General features: G+C 42.3%; 1 pseudogene, besides 1 other annotated feature; it reads right to left on the minus strand.

Moving 5' to 3' along the window:
• Positions 16779-16838: a silencer, noted in NCBI's record as "silent region_12719". NCBI's record gives its function as "represses an Ori minimal core promoter by ATAC-STARR-seq in GM12878 lymphoblastoid cells {active_cell/tissue: GM12878}" and the evidence as "EXISTENCE:reporter gene assay evidence [ECO:0000049][PMID:35858748]".
• On the minus strand, positions 19536-20931 carry KRT18P3 (keratin 18 pseudogene 3; annotated as a pseudogene).

The following is a 21841-nucleotide window of genomic DNA, read 5'->3' on the forward strand; positions in this document are numbered from 1 at the left end:
ATTGACTGAGTATTTGGGTTGATTCCAGTCTATCATTGACTTTATTCAGTCTATAATTGACTGGGCATTTGGGTTGATTCCATGTTTTATTATTGTGAATAGTGCTGCAATGAACATACGTGTGCATGTATCTTTGTAACAGAATGATTTATATTCCTTTGGGTATATATTCGGAAATAGAATTCTTGGAGCAATTGGTGTTTCTGGTTCTAGATCTTTGAGGAATCACCAGACCGTTTTTTCACAATGGTTGAACTAATTTACATGCCCACCAACAGTGTAAAATTGTTCCTATTTCTACACAACTTTGCTGCCATCTGTTGTTTCTTGACTTTTTAATAATTGCCATTCTGACTGGCATGAGATGGTATCTTACTGTGGCTTTGATTTGCATTTCTTTAATGAGCAATGATATTGAGTTTTTTTTTTTTTAATACGTTTGTTGGTTGCATGAATGTCTTCTTTTGAGAAGTGTCTGTTCATAACCTTTGCCCACTTTTTGATGGACTGGTCTGTTTTTTTCTTGTAAACTTGTTTAAGCTCCTTGTAGATTCTGAATATTAGACCTTTGTCAGATGGATAGATTGCAAAACTTTCTCCCACTCTGTAGATTGCCTGTTCACTCTGATGATAGTTTCTTTTGCTTGCAGAGGCTCTTTAGCTTGATTAGTTCCCATTTGTCAATTTTTGCTTTTGTTGCAATTGTGTTTGGCAATTTTGTCATGAAATCTTTGCCCATGCCTATGTTCTTAATGGTATTGCCTAAGTTTTCTTCTAGGGTTTTTACAGTTTTGGGTTTTACATTTAGGTTGTTATTTCATCTTGAGTTAATTTTTGTATAAGGTGTAATGAAAAGGTCCAGGTTCAATTTTCTGCATATGTTTAGCCAGTTTTCCCAGCACCATTTATTAAATAGGGAATTCTTTCTCCATTGCCTATTTTTGTCAGGTCTGTCAAAGATCAGATTGTTGTAAATGTGTAGTTTTATTTATGAGTTTTCTATTCTGCTCCATTGGTTTATGTGTCAGTTTTTGTACCAGTACAATGTTGTTTTGGTTACTGTAGCTTTGTAGTATAGTTTGAAATCTGGTAGTGTGATGCCTCCAGCTTTGTTCTTTTTGCTTAGGATTGTCTTGTCTATACAAGCTCTTCTTTGTTTCCACAGGAATTTTAAAATAGTTTCTTCTAATTCTGTGAAGAATGTTAATGGTAGTTTGATGGGAATAGCATTGAATTTATACATTTCCTTGGGGAGTATGGCCATTTTTATGATATTGATTCTTCCTATCCATGAGCATGGAATGTTTTTCTATTCTTTTATATTTTCTCTGATTTCTGTGAGCAATGGTTTGGTTCTCCTTGAAGAAGTCTTTCACTTCCCTTGTTAGCTGTATTCCTAGGCATTTTATTCTCTTGGTAGCAATTGTGAATGGGAGTTCATTCATGATTTGGCTGTCTGCTTGCGTGTTGTTGGTGTATAGGCATGCTTGTGACTTTTGCACATTGATTTTGTATCCTTAGAGTTTGCTGACATTGCTTATCAACTTAAGAAGCTTTTGGGCTGAGACAATGGGGTTTTCTAGATATTGGATCACGTCATTTGCAAACAAACACAATTTGGCTTCATCTCTTCCTATTTGAATACCCTTTATTTCTTTCTGTTGCCTGATTGGCCTACCCAGAACTTCCAATACTATGTTGAATAGGAGTGTTGAGAGAGGGCATCCTTGTCTTGTGCCAGTTTTCAAGAGGAATGAAAGCCACAGTCTTTTTACAACCTACACTAGAAAGTGATGCCCTATCACTTCTGCCATATTCTGTTCATTAGAAGGAAGTGACTAGATCCAACACCCACTCACGGGAAGGAAATTACCTAGGGATGAGAATATCAGGAGGCAGGCATCAGCAAGTGCCATTTTAGAGGCTACCTGCCACAATGACCATTTGTTTATTTTCCCAACACAGTCTCAATCTATGCCTTTAAATATTTGTCCCGGTTAGGTTTCTTCTTTCCCTGTTTCTCTTTTCTTCCTTTCCCTCTAATTTCTATACAAATAAAACTATAAGCTATAAGGTGGGGCCAAACACGCTTGAAAAAATAAAGAATATTTACATAGTCAAAAAATACTCCCCTTAGTATACATATTTATTACAAAGGGGAAAAAGGTAGCTTTACAGTGGAGAAGTATGGCAGACATCACCTGAATTTGACGACAAAACCTAACTCATCAGCCACAGGACAAGTCGAAAGCATGTACAACTTGATAGGATGGAATAAGAAGAACACAGCATCGTGTATGTGATATTCCTGCTGGAGATGCATATCCTGCATTTAATCATGAGAGAACATTAGACTAATAAAATTAAGGGACATGCTATAGTCTGTACTCTTCAAAATGTTGGAGTCATGAAAGTCAAGGGGAGACCAAGGGACTCTTCCAGATTGTAGGCAATTAAAAACACATGTTGAATAAATGCAACCTGTGATTCTGAGCTGCATCATTCTTCTACAAAAAAATTACTGAAGTAATTGATAAAACCTGAATGAAATCTCAGGACTAGATGGGGTAATGCATCAGTGTTAATTTCCTGATTATGATGGTTCTATTTTGGTTATGTAGGAGAATGACCTTGTTTGTAGGAAATATATATTATCATAATCAGAAGTGATGGGACATTGCCTTAGCAACTTACTCTTAAATGGCTTCAAGGAAAAAAAAAGTTCTGTACTTGTAAATTTTTATAACTTGTAGAAGTACTTACAGCTTTTCTGTAAGTTTAAAGTTGCTTCAAAATATAATTTTAAAATGCCACAATTAGAGTAATAAGTTATATGATTACCTCACTTGTGGATATAGATGCTCCCCTAAAAATTCTCTCTCCATACTTATTGCTGCCCAAAATACTAATTCATTCTCATAGTTATGTCCTTTTCTCTAGAGAAAAATCTTGTGCAAAGCAATGTGGAGGACAAAGCAAAGTTCTGTGGCAGAACTTTGGAATGTCAAATCTTATTAAACTCTCCTATGCAAAGGAATTAGAAGAACAAAAATAAATCCCAGGTTTGGAAGCTAAATTTATATGAAGGAGAAGTTGAAAGATATTTCATTACCCAGCAAATTCTTAAAATGTCATTTCAGTCCAAAAGTGAAACTCTTGATCCACTATGAGGCCTTTACAAATTAAATTAGCCTCACTTATTTCCATATTTAGTCTATAAAATAGAAACAAAAAGGCATTTGTACATTCTACCAAACTATATGCCAATGATCGTAGCCCAAACTCTTTCTTTACATAGGTTGTCAAGGTTGTTACCACAAAAGCAGGTATCGTACACTCCCCAAGGTTCACAGGACCTGGGTAAGAGAAGAGGAAAGGCAATGAAAGTGTGAAGATCCTTGAAATAAAGATGATCTCCAATGGTAGTAACACCAGAATCCAGATACACAGAAACAGACTGAAGAAATGAGAGGAATAAAAGGGAATAAGTAGAAGTTGGAGTTTATAAGAAACTCCTGTAGAAACTATTCAATACCTGAATAACTGCAAATACTTTAGGCAAATGATTATGAGGAACTTAGAAGATATAAGTAGCTTTTGTAGTTTTTGCTTTGCGGAAGGAAGGAAGGCTGTGACTACTCCACTTGCCTTGGCTGGAGGCCATGTGCAGGTGGGTCCTTCAGCGGGCACTGTGTGGTTCCTGGCTTCCACCCCACCACATCATCACTGTGGCCTCTGACTGCTTGCTTCTCTTCCTCGTTCTGCACTCTCCTCCAGCTGAGTTTCACTTAGCAAAACAGACGATGTTCAGTCTTCACAGGTGGGAGTCATGAAGGTCAAACATTACATTCCCCAATTTGATCTAATCGAAGACATACCCTCCCCAAATCTAAAATATGTAACACACTCAACGGCCTCTGCTTTGTTGATTCTGGGAACTACACCAAACACAGTTTTGAGACACTTGCTATTTCCTTTCCATCTAGAGCCACTCCTCACTCTCCTCATATTTTCCCCTGAAGCTGTTGGATTTATTTCTAAGCTCTGGAACCTTGAGTGGGATGATTCATATTCCAAGTATTTTTTCCTTTTTTATACATTTCTTAAGTTATATTTTTCAAGGAATTTGTCCATATCATCTAAGCTGTGCAATTTATTGACATCAAGCTGACCATAATGTACTCTGACCATTCTTTTGATGTCTCCAAAATCTACACTGTTGCTTCCTTTTCCATTCCTGATATTAGAAATTAGAGTTGTCTCCTTTTTCCTTGATCAGTTCAGCTAAAGTTTCATTATCTACATTTGAAATCCAGACTCTGTCCCTTTTCCTTGTCCTCAAATGCAATTTGGTCAGAAGCTGGAGGATTTACAGGACTGGGTGAAGTCAGCGTTGGTTGAGGAGGGGAGGGTGCAGATGGGGTCAGGAGCAGAACTCTGAAGGTCAGGAGGCTGATAAGGAGGGAATTCAGTGACTCAGAACTGGGTGGATGCAGCGCTGAAGTGTAGAATAGCCATGGTTACACACCCTTCCGCAGTTGTTATAGGGATATTTCCTGGTAATGTATTGTAAAAGGACAATTTCCCAGTATATTTTGCTCAAGTCTGGAGAACTGAACATTTACGCTCTACAGCTATGTATTAAACTCACAGGCACTTCAGACAAGTTGAGATGTATAGTGTAGATCTCTCTCTAATATGGGGAAGAAGCGACACAGGACTTGAGACTCCAGAAAGGGCAGAAGAGCTGCTTCTTCAAAGCTCTGTCTGTGTAAACCATAGTTACCTCTGAGATGTCGGAATGATGGTGATTCTTAGTTTCCAGTGTTTTACCATGGCATGCGTTATTATTTAATAAGAAAACCAAATATTTTATTATTATGCATGCTACAATTTTGTGTACTAGGAAGTGTGCTAAACAGAAAGAAAAATACCAATAAAATGAGTTGTAAATGAGCTGTAAATAATATAAATGAATAAAATCAAATATATAAAATAAAATAATACAAATGTGAGGCCACGATGAAAAACAATGTATGTATATAAAGCCTAAGCTTCTTTTTATAAGATACCAAGGCCTTCCCTTTGGTCTCAGATCAGACCAGAATAGAGCCCTCAGTCTGAACCTCGGGGCATTAATTTTTAAGACTTGGTTCTTCGTTTCAATGATGACATGCTTGCTTGGGTTACGCAGTAGACACTGCACCCGTGTAATCTGGAGTTGCTAGCTGACCTTCCCCTGAGATGCACAGTGGAACAAGGACAGTTCATTCAACCTTCTGCAGAATCCTGAGTAGATGAGAGAGCCAAGTGGAAAGATCTGCTGAATGTGAATCTTTAAAATTGCAAGCTCCTCCAGGTTGGCCACATGCGCGTGAAGGGTAGACCACCCTCTCTCTCTCTATGTGTTCTTGATTTAGCCACTTGCTTTTCAAGATTCCTTTGTGCCTGGATTTAAAATGGGAATTTGGTCTGTCTTATAATTTGTGAGGTAAGATCTTTAAAGTGAGAGACAACACTGAAAGATAAATGTATGAAGAGATGATGTTATGCATTCAAATTTAACACTCATCAAGAACACATTAGACTGTCCCTTAGAAAAACCCACCAAGTGCAGTTGTTTTGGCTTCTTTCAGGGTCTGGGATCCCTTTGTGAGCCTCATGACGCAAGGACCTTTGCTTCATAAAGAAGGCACGAAATGTGACTTTAGAAAGCTCATGATTTCCAGAACCCAGAGTGGATCCTGGTTCAGAACGACTGCTCCAAGGGCCACACTTCTGCGCAGGTTTCCCCAAGAGTGCATTTGGAGGAGGACTTGAGGGATGCTCCCTGGTGCTCCTCTGTCAATGCTTTCTTTGTTTTATTCTGCTTTACTCTAGGTCTTCTCAGAGCTCTCAATATGGTTACATGCATGGGGAATCTTGTTTCTCAAACTTGCTCTTGGAGCAGAGTTGCAGTGGGGGAAGTGTGGTCTATGGGCACAGCTCCCACTAGGGCCTGCAGCTTCCTGGTTCAAGCAGAAGCCTTGCAAACATATTCATCTGGAAAAAGCATAGCACAGAGGCCCCAGTTGCAGAGATGCTCCGGAAGCCTGAGGTATGCACAGGGCTAGTGAGCTAAGAATATTCCTCTGTCGCCTTTTCAAGGACAAGGGAAGCCAGGGTGGAGACTGTGCTGAGCTAAGGTAAATATAAAACAATCCCAGGGCGGTCCCTCAGAGGAAGGCTTAGCTCCCCGGAGCCTTGGGTAGAGACGCTTCCTGCCTGCCTCGGGGAGTCCTCCTGCCAGGAAGAGGCCTCAGACTCTGCTATGTCTGGCCCTGTGGGGTGATCCCACGTGCTGGGAAGGAGGGAAAAGCAGGGTGGGGTGGGGCACCCTGACATTGTTTCAGATCTCCTGCAGTACGCCTCACTACATGATAAAGCAAAACCAGACTTTGTTTTAAAATAAAATTTTTATTTTAGATTTTTTTTTCTCTTATGGCCTTCCCCAAAGACAGATTTAAAAGAAATTATTTTATTATGGAAAATTTCCTGCAAATGCATGCATCAACTTCCATGCACTCGTCGCTAAGGTACTCCTGACCCGTGTCCTCTGTAACATCCAGCCCTCCTGCAAGGCCCCACTGGACTATTTTGAGGCAAAGCCAAGTATCATATAATTGCATCCTTCAGCATGTATTCTAACAGATCAGGGAATATAAATCCATACTGTGATACCATGAGCATACAAAAATATCATCACTTCATGTTATGTAGTAAGTTTCAATTGAGACTTGCCATTTCCTCATTGTTTCATGAATGCTTTTTAACAGGATTTTGTACAAACAGAATCCAAACAAGTTCTGCATGTTATATTTAACTGATATGCCCTAAGTTTCTCTCTCTTTTTTTTTTTAAAAAAAAAAAAAACAACAACTGAGGCTTAAAATGCCTGGCATACTGTCCAATGATTTAATTGTGTAGCTTCGTGAATGTTTAATAACGCCTATCTAGAGTCACATTGCACTGCTCAGATCAAGATGTGGACATTCCCAACTCCCCACACCTCTGGCTCCTTCCGGTCATCACCCACCCACCAGAGGGAATCTGTGTTCTGGCTTCCCTCAACACAAGCCCTTTAGCCTGTTCTTTCTGAAAAAAAAAAAAAAAAAAAAAAAAAAACCACCAAAAAAAAACTTTAATGTTAGTTTCAGGGGTACATGTGCAGGTTTGTCGTATAGGTAAATTACATGTCTATGTCTTGGGGTTTTGGTGTACAGCTTATGTTGTCACCTGGCAGATAAGCATGGTACTCAGCAGGTAGTTTTTCAATCCTCACTCTCCTCCCACCCTCCACCCTCAAGGGGTCCCAGGTGTCTATTGTTTCCTTCTTTGTGTCCATGTGTACTCAATGTTTAGCTCCCACTTATAAGTGAGAACATGTGGTATTTGGTTTTCTCTTCCTGTGTTAGTTCACTTAGGATAATGACCTCCAGCTCCATTCTTGTTGCTGCAAAGATCATGATCTCGTTCTTTTTTTCTGGCTGTGAAGTAGTCCACCTCTAGCCTGTTCTTAAAATTCATAGAATCTTACATACAGTGTGTGCTCTTTCCTGTCTGATTTCTTTTGCTCAGATTCCTGCCTGTAGACTCTGCCATGATTTTGCAAATGTTGCAGTTGTCATTTTTTTTTGTAGTACTTCATTGGTGAATGTGGTTTTATTTTGCTGTCTGTATTGATATGGATTGCTTCTATGCTTTGGCTAGTACTAATAATGCTGTTATGAACATTTCTGCCCACGTTTTCTGGTAACATAGCACTCCCCTATGAAATGTTTCGACCTCAGGGTAGGTACACTTTAGCTTTCGGAAATGTCCCCAAGTAATTTTCCAAAGTGTATGAATTCCACTTGTCACACATCCTTATGAACACTATGTTATCTTTTTGTTAAAGCCCATTTTGATATAGAGTAAAAAGATTATCCCCTTGATTAAATTTAAGGTAGGCTCCTCTGAGTTCTCCTTTCTTTAAATTTTTTAATTATACTTTAAGTTCTAGGGTACATGTGCACAACGTGCAGGTTTGTTACATATGTATACATGTGCCATGCTGGTGTGCTGCACACATTAACTTGTCATTTACATTAGGTATATCTCCCAATGCTATTGGGAAAACTGGCTAGCCATATGTAGAAAGCTGAAACTGGATCCCTTCCTTATGCCTTATACAAAAGTTAATTCAAAGGATTAAAGACTTAAATGTTAAACCTAAAACCATAAAAACCCTAGAAGAAAACCTAGGCAATACAATTCAGGACATAGGCATGGGCAAGGACTTCATGTCTAAAACACCAAAAGCAATGGCAACAAAAGCCAAAATTGACAAATGGGATCTAATTAAACTAAAGAGCTTCTGCACAGCAAAAGAAACTACCATCAGAGTGAACAGGCAACCTACAGAATGGGAGTTCTCCTTTTAATAGACCTCAATTTTGGTCAATAAATCCTTGAACAAGCACAAACAGTTTCTAACAGCACAAGACCACATCCCCAAGAGGATGCTAGCCCTCATTTAAATTGCCTTCCTGGGAAAACTTAAGGCTGTTAAAATAATTTACAGTTTGTTTCAGCCAATACCTGAGGATAGGGCTTCTGTCTTCCAGCCCCAGTCTCAGGAGGATGAGACCCTAACACTGAGGATTGTCAGCCTGGTCTCGTTTACACGGGCTGATATTTCATGAATTTTAACTTTTCTGTATGGCCTGCCCACTTCCTACTTCTTCATTCTCCTTTTAAAATGCCAGTTTACCTGCGTACAAATGGAAGTTGAGTTCCCTTCATGGAGGACTCTTTTCCCTATTTCACTAGTTATTACTAAAATCGGTCCTTACCCCTTTACCTAGTGTCGGGCTGTTTATCTTTGACAGTAACAATAGCTCATCATGGCTTTACTTTCCATTTTCCTGATGGCTGATGAGGTGGAACATCTTTTCACATGTATTTGGGTTTCTTCTTCTCTGAGGTATCTATTCAGGTTCCTTTGCTCATTTTTTTTAAGCTGTCTGTTTCTTAAGTGTTTTTATATAAGTTTTTTTTTCCCTCCTAAAATGGCATGTGAAGAACAAATTATCCACAGAGGTTTAGAATAGAATAGATTAGACATGGACAGTTTAAAGGTGAAAGAATAGAGCCTAAGAACAATGAAAATGATAAAAGTGTTGGTCTCTTTCGAGGATTTAGAAAGAATGGGATTATGCAATGGATCTTTTGTTATCTTCCAAAAGAAATCCATTTCTTGGGAACAAGATGAGCATAAAAGTAATGAAACACAAATGACTTCGTGACTTATATGAATGATGGAAAAAGATGATTATTGGAAAGACATTATACTAATGTATAATAATAGAAAGCAAATAAAAAGAGTAAAAGTTTGGAGAAGGTTATGAGTTCTATGTAAAACTCTTCATAAAATATTCTACTCTTTCTACACTATGATAAGGCTCACAAAAATACATAACATAAAAATAGTCATATTTTATCCAGTGGGTTTTAAATATTTATGGAAGTCCTCATGATTCTCTTTAATAATGACATTTTTGTATATAAAATGTCAAGTGATCACTTCCTTAAGCTTATGTTTTCTTGGGCTGACATGGCCCATTACCACATGTTCCTGCTGCAATCCATCCCTGTCTCCTTTTGAGGCTGACAGCAGGGTCAAGGGCTCCCTGAAGGGCTTGTTCCATTGGGTGTGGGACTTCCTGCCCAAGGGCCTTGCCTTTCCTGAAGGAAAAGTGAGGCTGTCCCAAGGGGAAGGAAGAGGAGCTCAGAGCTAGTAGAGAGGCCCACTCCCAGGGACATCCATGCAGGGGGTGAGGCACTGCTGGGATGCTTCTGATGGGGACAGTCCAGCCAGCATGCCATTGCAGCCACAGCCATCCCAGGGCAGTGCCAGTTGCAACTCAGTCCCCCCAGCAGCTGAGTACAGACGTCACCAATTGGTGGCCCACCAGCAGAGAAGGGCTGCCAGGGGCTTGGCCGTGGAGCCTACAGGGCACCTGCTCAGCCAGCCTGCTCCAGTCCCCCATGCTGGGGTGGGTGCTTCAGAGCTTTCAGAGCAGATTGAAGGGTGTGGAAAGAACAGAAGTGAGATAAGAAAGGAGAAAGTGTTAAGGACCCGAAAGAAAAGTCATGTGAACACAAAGAGAGTCCACAGCAATGTGTCCCATCCAACAATCCTTTGACCATGGGGAAGCAGCCTTTCCTTTGGGGTCATGGCTGGTGTGCTGGGTCCAGGGCTGCCTTGCTGAGATCTGCTGAAGCAGAACACAGGTGCCAGCAGAGCACGGGGTTTGGGATCAGATAGGCTCTTTACTGGGCCATGGGACCCTAGGCAAGATTTTTTTGTTTAAATCTTTCTTTATTTCAATAGCTTTGGGGGTACAAGTGGTTTTTGCTTACATGGATGAATTGTATAGTGAGGAAGTCTGAGGGTGATGAGGCACCCATCACCTGAGTAGTATATATTGTACCCAATATATAGTATTTATCCCTCACTCCCTCCCACCTTTTCTCTTCTGAGTCTTCAAAGTCCGTTACACCACTGTATACTTCTGTGTACTCAAAGCTTAGCTCCCACTTGTGGTGAGAACATGTGGTATTTGATTTTCCATTCCAGAGTTACTTCACTTAGAGTAATGAAGGCAAGATGTTTAATGTGTCTGCAGATCAGCTTCTGTTTGTGCTGTGCTCATGAGCTGAATCACTGCAGGCTGAATCCCAGCTGCCCAGCTATAAATGTTTGCCTCAAAGAAGGTGCTCAGACCAGGTGCGGTGGCTCAAGCCTGTAATCCCAGCACTTTGGGAGGCTGAGGTGGGTGGATCATGAGGTCAGGAGATTGAGACCATCCTGGCCAACATGGTGAAACACCGTCTCTACTAAAAATACAAAAATTAGCTGGGGGTGGTGGTGAATGCCTGTAATCCCAGCTACTTGGGAGGCTGAGGCAGGAAAATCACTTGAACCTGGGAGGCGGAGGTTGCAATAAGGCAAGATCATGCCACTGCACTCCAGCCTGGGCAACAGAGAGACTCTGTCTCAAAAAAAAAATGAAATAAAATAAAAAAAGATGCTCGGTGAATAGGAGACTCCTTTGAGCGCTCAGTATGTAGGTTGGGCAGCAGCTAAAGAATGATGCAGATGCCTTCTTTATGGAGGATTTTGTTTTGGAGAAGCCCCTCTCACCTGCCTGACTTCCCTGTGGCAGAGGTCAAGTCCAGTTCTCAGAGCTCACACCTCTGTCCAGTCAGCCTGGCAGCCCCTCCCAGAGGCACATCAGGGCAGGAGGTGAGGGTCAGTCCTGGTAGATCTGGAACCAGTACTGGCCTCTCGAAAGCACCAGTAGACAGTGATACCTGCCTGGGGCTTCACATCAACAAAGATAAGTGGGTAAACAATACTGGATAAAATGGATGAGCCACTATCTTTTTTAAAATATGATTTTTTTTTTTGAGATAGAGTTTCACTGTTTGTTGCCCAAGCTGGAGTGCAGTGGCTCGATCTCTGCTAACTGCAAACTCTGCCTCCTGGGTTCAAGCAATTCTCCTGTCTCAGCCTCCATAGTAGCTGGGATTACAGGTGCCAACCACCACACCCAGCTAATTTTTGTATTTTTAGTAGAGATGGGGTTTCACCATGTTGGCCAGGCTGGTCTTGAATTCCTGACCTCAGGTGATCCGCCCGCCTCAGACTTCCAAAATGCTGGGATTACAGGCATGAGTCATTGCACCGGGTCATTTTAAATTTGATTTTTAAAACATCTGTGTCATCACTAAATTCATTTGGCAATCCAGCTGGTGGGGCTATTTGGTAATTTTTCCTCCATGATGTGTTAGAGCTATACTCATAAGTTTACCATCTTTTCTTGTATCTTTTATCTTACTCTTTTTCCTGTTCCAGGGACTATGTAAATAAGAAAACAGCATTCACACCTTTTTATTGCTTACCTGAATTAGTTTAATGACCATTCCTTTATTTCATTGCTCATCATTGTTTTATCCCACAATCCTTACTGAATACTCCCATGGCCCATGTGCTGGGCTTAGAACTGTGGACTCACAACATGCAGGTCCCTAAAATCAAGGAGCTTGTGTTCATGTGAAGGAGATCATCAAACCAAGCATCATATTAGGATTGGGGTGTGCTCTAGGGCATTCCCTGCAGCAGTTACAGTGAAGCTAGGAACACTCAATGCTCAGCAATAGAAGAGCTGAATCAGTTGTGGGCTAGTTATACTCTACCCTACTAAGAAGCAGTTAAAATGAGTGGAGAGGATTTAGATATAGTGACAGAGGAAGACTGAGACACACAGCATAATATACTCTTCAGTAAGAATATATCCTGTTCATGTGTGTGTATGTGCATTTCACATGTATGTCTTAGTCTGTTTGTGCTGCTATAACAGAATACCACCAACTAGGTAACTTATACCCAGAAATTTATTGGCTCACAGTTCTGGAGGCTGGGCAGTCCAACATAAAGGTGCTGGTTGGTTTGGCCATTTGGATTCCAAGATGGCACCTTGAACGCTGAGTTCTGCAGTGGGGAGGAAGTCTTTGTCTTCACTTGGCAAATGGCAAAAGGAGCCAAAACTTGCCCTTTAATAATAGCATTAATCCCATCGATAAGGGCAGTGCCTTCATGACCTAATCATCTCTTAAAGGTCACATCTCTAATATTATGATAACAGCAATTTACTTTCAACATATGAGTTTTGGAGAAGGCAAACATTCAAACATAGCAATGTATATAAGCATCTTGCAAAAATGTTTATTTTTAATGCTGTATATATTGTTTGGAAACACTTTTTATGTAAAAATAGATACAGATGCAGGTATAGGTGTAGGTAAGCACAGATAAAAGTTCTGGAAGGGAAGGCTTGTTTGGGTTAAAGGAAGAGGATTGGGATTAGGTTTGTTTTCAGTGGGGAATTTAGCTGTGGCAAATGTTTAAATATTTGCAGGGAGAATGCATGCTTGTATTATTATTATTATTATTATTATTATTATTATTATTATTATTATTTTGGGATGGTATTTCGCTCTTGTCCCCCAGACTGGAGTGCATTGGCACAATCTCGGCTCACTGCAACCTCCGTCTCTTGGGTTCAAGCAGTTCTCCTGCCTCAGACTCCTGAGTAGCCAGGATTACAGCCATGTGCCACCACGGCCGACTAATTTTTGTTTTTTTAGTAGAGATGGGGTTTCACCATATTGGCCAGGCTGGTCACAACGTTTTGACCTTAGGTGATCCACCCGCCTCGGCCTCCCAAAGCACTGGGATTATAGGCGTGAGCCACTGTGCCCGGCCTCATGCTTGTATTATTTATGTAACTAAAAATAAATTTTAATTATATATTTCCATTTTGGGAAAACAAAAAAGAATTAAAGAGACAGACTATTTTAAGAACATCAGCGTCACTAACTGAATAAGGAAATTGTACAGATTTTGAAGATTTTATGTGATTTCTTGGTTGTTGTGTAACTTCCCATTCACATACTCATTCATTCATTCATTCATTCAGTTTTATCAATCTCCCTTCTGCAAAATATTTGAAGTTGCTTACAAAATCATATACATATAGAACTTCATAATGTACCATCAAAATAAAACTATATTAAAATTATATCTATGTTATACCTGTATGTGTGTGTGTATGTGTGTGTGTGTATATGTATATACGTTATACACATACATAGAAGGCAGATGTCATTGGGCGCTGACTGAATCCTGAGTCTGGGTTTCCTGATAGTTAGAAGACAACCTTCTTACTGATACTACCAGAATGAACACATACACAATATGGTGTGCTTTTTCCAAAACACTGAAAACCTGTTGTTCATTCCCTGAAAGGAAACAATACCTTCTCCTCTCACTGCACAAAACTGGATATCCTAGAAAATTCAGTGCCAATCAAAACCATGACAAACACTTTGTTTTTCTTAGGGAGTCAGATTTAGATTCTTAGGTGAAATAATTATCATTAATTTTTTACCTACAAAAACATGCAGTGGGCACCTCAAAAGTGTGTGGAGCAGGCGGGCATGTTTGTTGACATGGGAGCACCTTGTGCATTGAAGTGCATGTGACATTCCATGTGATTCACTCTCTAAAGCCAGTATCACCCCAATCACTTTACAACCAAAAACACATCTAGAAATTTCCAAAACACCCCCTGGAGAGGAGTTTTCACCCCCTGATTTCACCAAGAACCATTGATTAGGGCATGCAGTAGCATTAACTCAGTGCCTTAGATTGAAGTTTCCCAGAAGCTGATGGGAGCATGGAGCTGTGTGCAGAGGTTTATATAGAGCGTGATTCCAGGAAGCAGGGGTGGAGGGAGAATGTCTTTTCATGGTCACCACTGTGAGCCACTGGGGCTTGATTTCACTGGGATCTCCCAAGAGTAATGCAGAAAGTCGCCAGAATCTGATGGGAGGCAGGAGCATTTACCTACTAACTCCTGGCCCCAAGCGATTGAGAGTTACCTTAGGATAAGTTTGTCACAATTTTGAGCTCACCTGTGCACAGAGCCTGGCTCATTGAGACACTGTCAGCATGAAGTGAGTCCAAGTCCAAACATAATTGTGCACTCTGGCAGCAGGGGGCGGAGAGTATGTGGCTCCAGGAACAAGGCTCAGTGGCACCACTTCTAGGGAGAGGCATGATGATTATCTAAGAAGGCCTCAGATGTACTGGCCAACCAGCTTAAAACCAGCTCAGGGAGTCTTTGGAGAGGCCATGTAGTTGGGCAAATGTGAAAACCCAGAACATTTTAGATCTGAATCAATACAAGGCCAAGACTGTAGCCACTGGGGTAAATCCTAGCCATGCCAGTCCATTTAATGAATCACCTTTCTACTCTCCACCTTCACGGTAAGCAGGCCTTTGTTTCCTGTCCCCTTGTCCATCCTTTGTTCCTGGAGAGAAATTCATTCCCCAAAATATTCCCAGGGCAACATCAACACTTGTACCAGAATACTACTTCTAACCTCCCAGTTCTGGGAGGATTCAGCTGGTCTGTGGTTGTAAAGGTCAAGGTGTGGCTTGATCTTTTCTCTCAACTCAACTGAAGTCTGAGATGCAGAAGCCAGGCTGTTCACATTTACAGTAGAAACTGTTCTTGTACCCACAGCACAGCCTCAAGCCCTGGCCGTCACAGCAAGTTCCTGATTCTCCTGCTGTGAAGCTGCTGTGAGAGTGAAAAGGCTGTGGGGCATCTCCAGGCTGAGTGTGAGACGATGCTCCCACAGACTTACTTCCTGCCAGCCACACCTTGGGGAGAAACAAAAGGATGCAATGCCAAGGCAAGGGAGGCTTTGTGGGTGGCGATCTCTTAGTTTGCTCAGGGTTTGTGCTCAGTGCTCAGCAGATGAGGAAGTTGATGGCTGTCTCCAGGCCCCATCTGTCCAAATTGTGCGCATCCTCAGAGTAGGGAGCTGGCACTCACTTACCTCCAGACTCCCAAATCTCCCAGTTAAACTCAGTACACTTCTCATGGGCACCATCTTAGCTCCAGTCCCCTTGAAGCAGACCCTGGGAGTATTCTGGAAAGTGATGCTAGGGCTCTGGAGAGATGGAGGACTGGAAAGAGGAGGGGAAGAGGCCAGGAGCCCATGTAAGGAAGCCTTATGATCTCACACACTGTAGGAAGCTGGGCTCAGATCCCCAGGGACCCACCAAAAACTGGAGAGAACCTCCCACTGGAGACATGCAGGAGGAGACTATTCATCCACTGGTCCCTTGGCCATGGGCCAAGGGTTGCCTGGTGGTGGTGAGGTGGGTATTAGTTCCCTCACAGGGCAGCCACCGGGATGGCAGGTGGCTCCACAGTCATGCAGTTGGTTCTTAGCAGAGCCGATGTGCACCGGAATTCTCCTGCATGGCCACAAAGTTGTAGCTGTGCATTTGCTCTTTAATGAGTGCATGGCTCATGCTAGGTTTATAGGACATGTGATTCTCATCACATCAATTTCTACAGAAAAGAAGATGCAGGTGGCCTGCCTTTTCAGCTGTATCCTCTGTAATGCAACAAGGAGGGTGACAGGGAGGTGCTGGAGACACTCTGAAGTTCCCTATAGTCTCCTGCTGCCAGAAGCCACAGCAGCCTTAGTCACAGGAAGAGTCAAAGGTCAGGGTGTGTGGTCCATGGGCACTTCCTGCTGCTCAGTCCTCTGCTCCTCTCAGGGCTGTCCCATGCCTGGGAAGTCCCCTCACATTAACCCTGAGGCAAGCAGGAACTTCCTTGATTCTCAGCATCCTTTCAACCAGAAAAGGGGCTCAGGTTCTTCTTCCACCCCCATCTCCCATATGCCAAAATTTAACTTGTCCTGAGACCCATTCCACCTTTTCTTTGCGAGAAACACAGCCAGAGTAGATCATAATTAAAGAGCGTGGCCTGGTGTGGCAGTATTAGCCATAATTTCTGGCCTAGAAACAGACACTACAGGGAAGCAAGTCATGAAGGAGGGTTTAATGAAGGGGTATGGAGAGCTGTGGGTGGGGTGTGGGGAGTCATGGAGAAGTGTGTAATGAAGAGGTATAGAGAGCTGTGGGCAGGGTGTAGGAAGTCATAGAGAAGAGTGTAATGAGGAGGTGTAGAGAGCTGTGGGCGGGGTGTGGGGATTCATGGAGGAGAGTGTAATTAAGAGGCATAGAGAGCTGTGCGCAGGGTGTGGAAAGTCATGGAGGAGGGTCTACTGAAGAGATATAGAGAGTTGTGGGCGGGGTGTGGGGAGTCATGGAGGAGACTCTAATGAAGAGGTATTGAGATGGGCGGGGTGTGGGGAAGTCACTGAGGTGCAGTACCCTAGCGGCCAGCAGCAGTGGGGAGCTGCTACTGCCCCCAGCAGAACAGGGGGACTCCCAATCTCTGAGAGAGAAACCAGTATTAGGAAGAGGGACTTTCTGATGGGAGCTGCAGCCTTCAGTGGAGGAACAGATACATGGGCAAAGGGACGGAGCCTGGGGAATCCCTCCAGTCGTATAACTTTTATTTCTGTTTGTCTGCCCCTTCCTGGGCTTCCTTAAGGTCTGCCTTACCCTTTACCGAACCCCCATCTGTTTTCAGTAGCTAGAGTGGATTTTTGTTGTCTGCTTCTGGAAATTCTGATGGAGATACTGTGTTTACATGTTTACATACATTATTCAATTTATTTCATGCAACAAACCCAGTGAAGTGAAAACCCCCTAAACGCTCACATGCACTCTGCCAATGAAGATGTGGGAGCTCAGAAAGGGTAAGTGCAGCAGACACTGTCAGTGGCCGGGCTAAATCCCCTCCATTATCAGTTCCACAGGCTAATCAATAGCTGCCTAGGGAGAACACCTCTGCCTGAGGGCATTACTGTTCTGGCTGCAGGATGATGGTGGACCTGAGTTCAGGGCAGGCCAGAGGTGCTGGAAACGCAGTGTCCAGGAAGCAGCCTTCAACCAATGGCAGCTGGGAGTTGGTAGATAAATGTCCTAGTTTCCTAGCTGCTGTGAAGAGAATCTCTCTGGGGTGTAGTCTGCAGTTGTTTCCAGAATTTCCCTGTGAGCTGAGTCCTGATTGCTCCCAGTGGTAAAGAGCTCAATGATACCTCCCATCTTAACTTTCTACCCTTTCGCGTCTCTCCTCAACTCCCCACTCCACTGAGTTTTCTTAGGATCACTTCTCAAAGAACGACTTGTACTTAATCCTTACCTAGGGGAGGTGGGAAACCAAATCTGAGACATCAAGTTTCTTACCCAAGATTGCCTATCAAGTGTTGGGGAGTTTCAAGCTCTCCAACACTTGATAAAATACAACTAAATGATACTGAGTACATGTGTGTAATGCATGGTACAAGGGCAGAAATTCATAGTTCTAGAGTGTTGGATTTCACGTGGAAATATGGTTTGTGGAATTTTGTATCTCAGAGTGCCAGTGGGAGACTTGTGCTTGTGGATTCCCTAAGCAGGCAAAGGCAGAGAGGAATTAACGAGAGAGATGATGGATGAGAGGGGAGTGATCATGAGGGCAAGCCTCATGGTGGAAGAGGAAGATGGCATCACACTGGGAAAACTGTGGTAGAGTAGGGTATCTAGACAACAAATGGCCAGTCCTCTGGGCACTGGGTTAAGCGTTTGAAAAAAGAAAAAGAAACAGGGAAACACACAAAAAAGCCTATACACCTTCTGTTAATATTATGCGTGACTATTTATACACATGTTATGGGTTCCTCTGAAAGTAGGAAAACATCACGTATGGGTGGCAACTTCACAACAGCAGTTACCCAACAGGAAGAAAGAAAGGAAAAGAGAACAGATAGTTTGGAGCGACTCTGCATGGATGGGATCTGGGTTAATCGTCAATTTGTGTTGCTGCTGTTTTGTATCATTAAACTTTATATCTTTTAGTAGCTGAATCTTTATTAGAAACCATTGGGATTTTTGAGTGAATGCTGAACATGTTGAGAACAGGTGAATTCTATAGGGAAAAAACAAACAAACACAAAATACCAGCAACACAATCCTGCAATCTTGTTTTGTCTGTAGGGTGGAGCAAGGGCTTTAAATCCTGCCAGCAACAAAATCAATTACCAATCTTTTTTTAAAAATTATTGCAAAATAGAAATAATGTAAAATTTGCCATTTAACTATTTTTAAGTGTACAGTTCAGTGACATTAGGTACATTTACAATGTTGTGTAACCATCACCACGATCCATCTCCAGAACTTTCTCATCTTCTAAGACAGAGTACAGAGTACTCTGTACCTATTAAACAACTCCCCATTCTCCCTTCCTTCAGTTCCTGGAATCCACCGTTCTACTTTCTGTCTCTATGAAGTTGACTACCCTCAGTATCATATATATGGAATCATACAATATTTGTCTTCACCTATTATTTTTGACTTATGTAAAATTTCAGTATTTTACAGACTTTTTTGGTTTTATTTGTGAACTACAAATAATCCTTTATTAGGATGTATTCATAACACGTTGGTGTTGTAATAAACCTTAAAAAATAGCAGTTTGGAAATAAAAGGTATATAGATTAGGATGGAAGAAATAAAACTGTCTTTTTCTGCAGATGATATGATTGCCTATATAGAAAATCTGAAAGAATCAACAGAATAACTGAAACTTTATAATAATTTTATAGCAAGCATGCAGGATACAAGGTTAGTATACAAAAGTCAATCACTTTCATATATGCCAGCAACCTATGAATGAGTGGAATTTAAAACGAAAACACATTACCATTTGCATTAGCAGCCCCAAATTGAAATATTTAGATACAGATCTAACAAAGTATGTAGAAGGTTTATATGAGGAAAATGACAAAACTTTGATAAAAAGGAATCAAAAGACTAGACAAATAAAAAGTTATTCGATGTTTATAGACAGGACAACTCAATATTTTCAAAATGTCAGTTCTTTACCACTTGACTGGTAGATTCAGTGCAATCCCAATCAAAATCCCAGCAAGTTATTTTTGTTACATAAACTGATTCTAAGTTAGTTTTTTTTTGACCTCTGAACTTTTTATTGGCCTCCTTCTCCCCAAAAGTCCCCTGCTTCTGCTGGCTTTATGTCTCAGAACTTTGGTGTCATTGGTCTCAGACACCACTTTGCCATCCACTATTTGGTGGGTGGTGGTCTTTTGGATGGTTTACATGGAGCTGCTGCTGTCCAGGGCATCACCAATATTGAAGTCCTCGCCATCTTCCAGCAGGCGGCAGTAGGTGGAGATCTCAGCCTCCAGCTTGACCTTGATGTTCAGCAGGGCCTCCTACTCCTGGGCCTGGCGCTGTCCCTCTGCCCGGGTCTGTACCAGCTCTGACTTCAGGTGCAGCAGGATCCCATTGAGCTGCTCCATCTAAAGGGTGTAGGGGGCCTCCACCTCCCTCAGGCTGTTCTCCAAGCTAGCCTTCAGATTTCTTATGGAATCCAGGTTGATCTCCAATGACTGGACTGTATGTCTCAGCTCTGTGAGCATCATCTCAGCAGCTCCAACCTCGGTGGACTGTGTGGTGACCACTGTGGTGCTCTCCTTAATCTGCTGAGACCAGTACTTGTCCAGCTCATCTCAGTTCTTCTGAGCCAGCTCGTCATATTGGGCCTGGATGTCTGCCATGATCTAGTTGAGGTCCTGAGATTTGGGGGCATCTACCTCCATGGTCAACCCAGAGTTGGTAATCTGGGCTTGTAGGCCTTTTATTTCCTCTTTGTGGTTCTTCTTCATGAAGAGCAGCTCCTCCTTGAGAGCCTTGATCTGTCTCCAGCTGCAGCCGAGTGACATTCGTGTCATCAATGACCTTGCAGAGCCCATGGAGGTAGCTCTCTACAGATTGGAGCATGGCCAGCTCTGTCTCATACTTGACTCTAAAGTCATCAGCAGCAAGATGGGCATTGTCAATCTGCAGAACGATGTGGGCATTGTCCACAGTATTTGCAAAGATCTGAGCCCTCAGGTCCTCTATGGTCTTGAAGTAATGCCCCCAGTCTCTGACCTGGGGTCCCTTCTTCTCCAATTGCTCACAGATTTTGCTCTCCAGCCTCTGGTTCTTGGTCTCCAGGCTCCTCACTCTGTCCAGGTAGGAGATCAGGTGGTCATTCAGGCTTTGCCTGGTCTCCTTCTTGTTCTGGATGCCTTCCATTCCTGCCAGACTCTCAGCCATCCCCACAGCCAGAGCTCTGGACACCATGCCGCCCCCGAAGCTGGTGGAGTGGGACATGGAGATCAGGGAACCAGAGGCCCCAGCACCTTCATAGACGCTGGCCTTGCTGCTGACCAGCCGGGCACCATAGCTTGGCATCTGGACAGAGCCCAGGGACCAGTAGTTGGTGGAGAAGGTGGAGCGAGTGGTGAAGCTCATGCTGTCCGAGGAGGAGAGCGAGAGGACAGGACTCAGGCTTTGCTGACCATCTTGATTTTACGTTTATATGGAAAAGCAAAAGACCGAGAATAGCCAACTCAACATTGAAAGAGAAGAAAGTCAGAATACTTACACTAACCAACTTCAGGGCTTACTGAAAGCTACAGTAATCAAGATGGTGAGGTATTGATGAAAGAATAAACAAATAGTTCAAAGTAATAGAACAGAGAGCTAAGGTATAGACCCACATTAATATAGTCAATTACTCTTTGATATAGGATCAAAGGGGATGCAATGGAGAAATGTTGTCTTTTCCATAAATGGTGCTGAAACAACTGGACATTTCTGTGTAAAAAAAATGAATCTAGATCAAATCTTACATCCTTCACAAAAATTAATCCAATAGAGCATAGACCTAAATATAAAATGCAGAACTATTAACCTCCCAGCAAATAACAGGAGAAAATCAATGACTTGGATATGGCAATATAACGCCAGAGGCAAAACCCATAAAAAATAATAAGCTTGATTAATTAAAATTAAAAGTTTCTGCTTGGTAAAACACACAGTTAAGAAAATCGGGGGGCAGTTCCAAGATGGCCGAATAGGAACAGCTCCAGTCTACATCTCCCAGCATGAGTGATGCAGAAGATGGGTGATTTCTGCATTTTCAACTGAGGTACTGGGTTCATCTCACTGGGGTTCGTCGGACAGTGGGGGCAGGAGAGTGGGTGCAGCCCACTGAATGTGAGCTGAAGCAGGATGAGGCATCACCTCACCCCGGAAGCACAAGGGGTCAGGGAATTCCTTTTCCTAACAAAGGGAAGGGGTGACAGATGGCACCTGGAAAATAGGGTCACTCCCACCCTAATACTGTGCTTTTCCAATGGTCTTAGCAAATGGCACACCAGGAAATTATATCCCATGCCTGGCTCAGAGGGTCCCATGCCCACAGAG

The sequence above is a fragment of the Homo sapiens genome, chromosome 20, assembly GCF_000001405.40.
Source record: "Homo sapiens chromosome 20, GRCh38.p14 Primary Assembly".
In the NCBI taxonomy this organism is placed as follows: Eukaryota; Metazoa; Chordata; class Mammalia; order Primates; family Hominidae; genus Homo; species Homo sapiens.